At 41.4% G+C, this 4,769-nt stretch overlaps 1 annotated feature.

The window, feature by feature from the left end:
• Window positions 3,059-3,558: an enhancer, noted in NCBI's record as "H3K4me1 hESC enhancer chr3:82555583-82556082 (GRCh37/hg19 assembly coordinates)". NCBI's record gives its function as "activates a minimal SCP1, AML or CMV promoter by ChIP-STARR-seq in primed H9 embryonic stem cells {active_cell/tissue: H9 hESC(primed)}" and the evidence as "EXISTENCE:reporter gene assay evidence [ECO:0000049][PMID:30033119]".

The following is a 4,769-nucleotide window of genomic DNA, read 5'->3' on the forward strand; positions in this document are numbered from 1 at the left end:
TAATGCACCCACTGATCTGACAGGAGGCGGAGCTCAGGCAGTAAATGAGCAAGGGGGAGAGGCTGTAAATACAGATGAAGCTTTGCTGGCTCACCTGCCACTCACCTCCTGCTGTGTTGCCTGGTTGCTAACAGGCTACAAAAATCAGTACCAGTCCCTGGCTCAGTGGTTTGGGACCCCTGCTTTAAAGGATTGAAAAATTATTTCACTTCATTGTCTATCTGTTTATACACGCATAATCTATGCTTCTCACTCTGTTTTATATCTACCTGAATAGCAATATATAAAAACAGACATAAATACATTCAAATTAGACTAAAATATTCCTGAACACTCAGAACTGTATTCTTATTCAAGACCCCAAAATTAATTTCAAAACATGATTTTAAATTTTCTAATATAGATAATACTTACTTTATACTGTAAGAAAGAACTACCATGAGGTATCCCCTGAAATCTAAATATACTTATTTAGCTTGGGTACAGTTTCTCTTTGAAGAGCTTCTCTTTATGTTTACTGTAATGTTGCAGATGTATACTATTTCAAGTTAAAATTTAACACATCATGTGGTGAATTATCATTCTCCACTATACCCTTATCTGCATATATTTAATGGTTCATAATTCACAATATATTTTCATAGATTTTATCAGAAAAATGCTAAAATTATTTAAAGTCAAAATAACCAATTTATATTAAAATATTATAAAATGAAATATCCTTGCCAATCAGTTTCTCTATCTCTAATGTAAGAAAATGAGGTTTGCTTATTACAACTTCAAAAGAAGAGCTAATTGATGATAGGTGCTTATAATAAGACCTCCAGTTCTTTGGAAGAAAACTCACCAGGGTAGTGGTATGTAAATAAATGCTTTTGGTTTTGATGATTTGGGTATAAAATTGATCCTTTAACCAAAATCTGTATTTGTAGTCATCATTGACATGAAAGCTGATTTCTCCATGAAACAGGTTATTGGCACATTCATTTCCAACCAAATCTCTTCTTGTCACTCTTTGAATTGCATTTTTTCCCTTTGCAGAATTATTACAAAACATCTACAACCAAAACATTTCTCTTTTAAATAACAACAAAACCATTCTATGGGACCAAATTCTTTTCAATGCATCTTTTTCAGATGCTCCAAAATTAGTAACATTTTCTGTTATCTGTATAATTATGCTACCAGGTTCCCTAAGGAATTAAGTTTCTGTGTAAATAACTGTATCATGAAACATAATACATACAATGACTATCTAGTTTGCAACAAACAAAAAATATATGACTATGCTCTAACATTACACACACAATTCATATTTATGTTTCAATCCTTCATACATGCTAAAGTCCAAACCTTGCAACCCACTGAAGTCACCAATAGTAACTTTATTAACTATTTTATGGTTAACTATTAACTATTTTTATTTTATTAGACTTGCATCTTTTCTGCTTTCTTTCTATTAAATTAAATAAAAAATTTTACCATTTAATGAGAAATGTTATCTGAGTCTCATATTAGAGATCAGGTGACACAAAATAATAACTTTATTTGGCTCCTGTCCCAAGAAATTTAAAGATTAATCTTCCAACAATTAAAATGTTTGATTCTTACTTCCATAATCCCCATGTTGTACCTTAGTATCTGGACTAGATTCAGTATATTAATTTACATAATCCCACCCTATATATGAAAATAACTGACAATAAAAATTTTGAGAAATATTTACTTATCCAGTTAGAATGAATTGTATAAGGTACCTTATACAATTGGGGTGGCCTGTTGCGAGCAGCCACTGGAGGGACGTCAGCTGCAGTGGGGGAGGCAGGGCCAGGGCTGCATGCTCCACGGAGCTGGCAAGAGCCAGAAACAGGCAGGAGCTCCCCTCTCCCACCCCCACCCCAGCCACCAAGTTGGCGGGGTGGGTGCCCCATGCTCCCAGGCGAAGCTGAAGCCACCCAACTGCAGCTTCAGACTCAGGCATCCCTGTGCCCTCGGGGGCCCAGGAAGGCCCTTCTGTCCTTGCAGGCTCAGAAGCTCATGCTCCCACTCCCTGGCCTCTCCCCACTCCCAGCACCTGCTTCGAATTTGGAGCAAAGTTGTGGCTGAGCCTGGGGAACTGACGTGCTCCGGCCAGGTGTGCACCAGGTGTGCATTGCTTGAGGCGGTGCTGACATGTCAGCCCCTCATTGCCTCGGCCCCTTCTGGACTTCAGGAGCTGATGAGCATAGGAAGGAGGTCCGGGGGTGTTTAGGGCAGCTAGGCGCAGGCCTGCAGGCACCCCTTAGCACGAACACCCTGGCCGCCATGGACGGCGTATTGATGATGGTGGAGGCAGACAGGTTCCTGGGTGGAAAGGGATGGGTACCTGGTAGAGCCCCACCTTCAAGGCAGGGACAGCCTGAAGCCTAGGGGCTGGACTGCAATTTCCTGGTGGAGTCCACTGTTGGAGTGAGAACTTACAGTGCTTTTTCCAGGTCTGCTTATGGCCACCCATGGACCAATCAGCACACACTTCCTCCCCTCTGAGCCCATAAAAACCCTGGATTCAGCCAGACTCACACAGACATTGGGACGACCTGCCTGTGGAAAGGAGCTGCGGATTTGGGTCTCTGAGAGCTGTTCTATCGCTCAGTTAAAGCTTCTGTCTTCCTTGTTCACCCTCCAGTTGTTTGCATACCTCATTCTTCCTGGACACAGGACAAGAACTCAGGACCCGCCAAATGGCAGGACTGAAAGAGCTGTAACACAAACAGGGCGGAACCATGTTCCCCCCCGCCACTCACCACACTGTGGGCAACCAGAAGAGAGGAGCTGTGGCATTCTGGGAGCCGAGAGCTTGGGGCTCCCTCAGCCAGGGCTGTGACACTCTGTAGCACCCTTTTGGGGCTCTGGGGTTCCTGGCATCTCTGAGCTTTCAGGTGCCACCATGTTCCCCTTGTCCAGATGCTGGTGCCCACAGCAGAAGCCTCTTGTAGTACATCTGGTCTAGCCACAGCCTCGCATGGAGCCGGCACCAGTGCCAGTGCCTGGAGCTGCCTGCCCTGCCACAGCCAGCGTGTCTGGCTGTGCGCAGTGGCTGGACCCCATGCTTGCTCGCTCACACACCCTTTGCTGCTCTGCACCTGGCTTGCAGTTGGCAGGCATGGGATCTGGCTGGTAGCATAAGCCAAGTGCATCCTGCCAGGCCGAGTGGGCAAAATGAGACCAGTGGGCCTGAGCAAAACTTGGGCAAAGGTTTAACCAGTCAAAGAGGTTTCCGGCTGGAAAAACGACACCCTAAGGAGAGTGTGACATTTTCTTATGAGATTGAAATTAAGCAAAAACAAAAATGTAACATTCACCAAACACAAAATGTTCATTTGCTTATGCTCATGGTGAAACAAATATGAGAATAATCCTGTTTCAGAAGTTATTTTGTATGACGGGTGGCCACATAAAAAATTAATTTACATTATCAAAACTTTATAGTATTAAGTTAAAATCAAAGAAAAACTTGTATTTTATGTCTTTAATCACATATTACTTTTAATACAATTTTTATTTGAACTTTCAATAAAAAATTGGTTCATAATCACAACCAAAGATCACAAAGATAAATAAAGTATAGCTATTATCAGTATAAAAGGTCTTTGGTTTTTCTACTTATAAAATATTTACCTTAATTTTTTTTTTTTTTTTTGAGATGGAGTCTCGCTCTGTCGCCCAGGCTAGAGTGCAGTGGCACGATACCGGCTCACTGCAAGCTCCGCCTCCTGGGTTCACGCCATTCTCCTGCCTCAGCCTCCTGAGTAGCTGGAACTACAGGTGCCCACCACCATGCCAGGCTAATTTTTTTTTTCTTTGTATTTTTAGTAGAGACGGGGTTTCACTGTGTTAGCCAGGATGGTCTGGATCTCCTGACCTCATGATCCACCTGCCTTGGCCTCCGGAAGTGCTGGGATTACAGACGTGAGCCACCGCACCCGGCCACCATAATTTTTTAAAATTAAAATTAATTGTGGTTTTTGCCATTAAGCATAATTAAAAGTAATGGCAAAAACCACAATTAATTTTGCACCAACCTAATCGTTTTAATTGCCTAAGAACTTAGAGTAAGCTAGAGCTTAAATACCATTTGTAATATCCACTTATTTTTCTGTAAGTTAGATAAAATATCTTAGGGAATTTTAAATAACAATTAAACACTTCATCATTTTGCAATTCTCTATCAGTGCTTCACCATTTTCAGGAAGGTTTATGGTGATTTGTGATGAGGAGGAGCCATTGCTGAAGGTGGAGTATATTCATCCTCTGTGAGCACCAGTGAAAAATAACCATGCGGGAAGGCCCTGCAACACATGGTATAATTAGCTTGGTTAGTTTCTCTGCATGTTCAGATTTTGAAAAATCTACAGTGAATAAAATTGTCCTTTTCAGAAAAACAGCATTATTTTTATGTTAACCATGTAGTTTTATTTTTACGTATCATATTTTTTTTACCTTTTATTTTAAATTTAGTGGTACAAGTGCAGGTTGGCTAGATAGGGACACGTGTGTCCTGGGGGTTTGTTGTACAGATTATTTCATCACCCAGGTATTATGCTTTGTAGTAATTAGTTGTGCTTCCTAATTCTCTCCCTCCTTCCATCCTCCACCCTCCAGTAGTTCCCAGGGTGTATTGTTCCTCTCTATATGTCCATGTGTTCTCATCATTTAGCTCCCACTAATAAGTGAGAATATGTGATATTTGGTTTTCTGTTCCTGTGTTAGTTTGCTTAGAATAATGGCCT

This window comes from Homo sapiens, chromosome 3, assembly GCF_000001405.40.
Source record: "Homo sapiens chromosome 3, GRCh38.p14 Primary Assembly".
NCBI classification, from domain to species: Eukaryota; Metazoa; Chordata; class Mammalia; order Primates; family Hominidae; genus Homo; species Homo sapiens.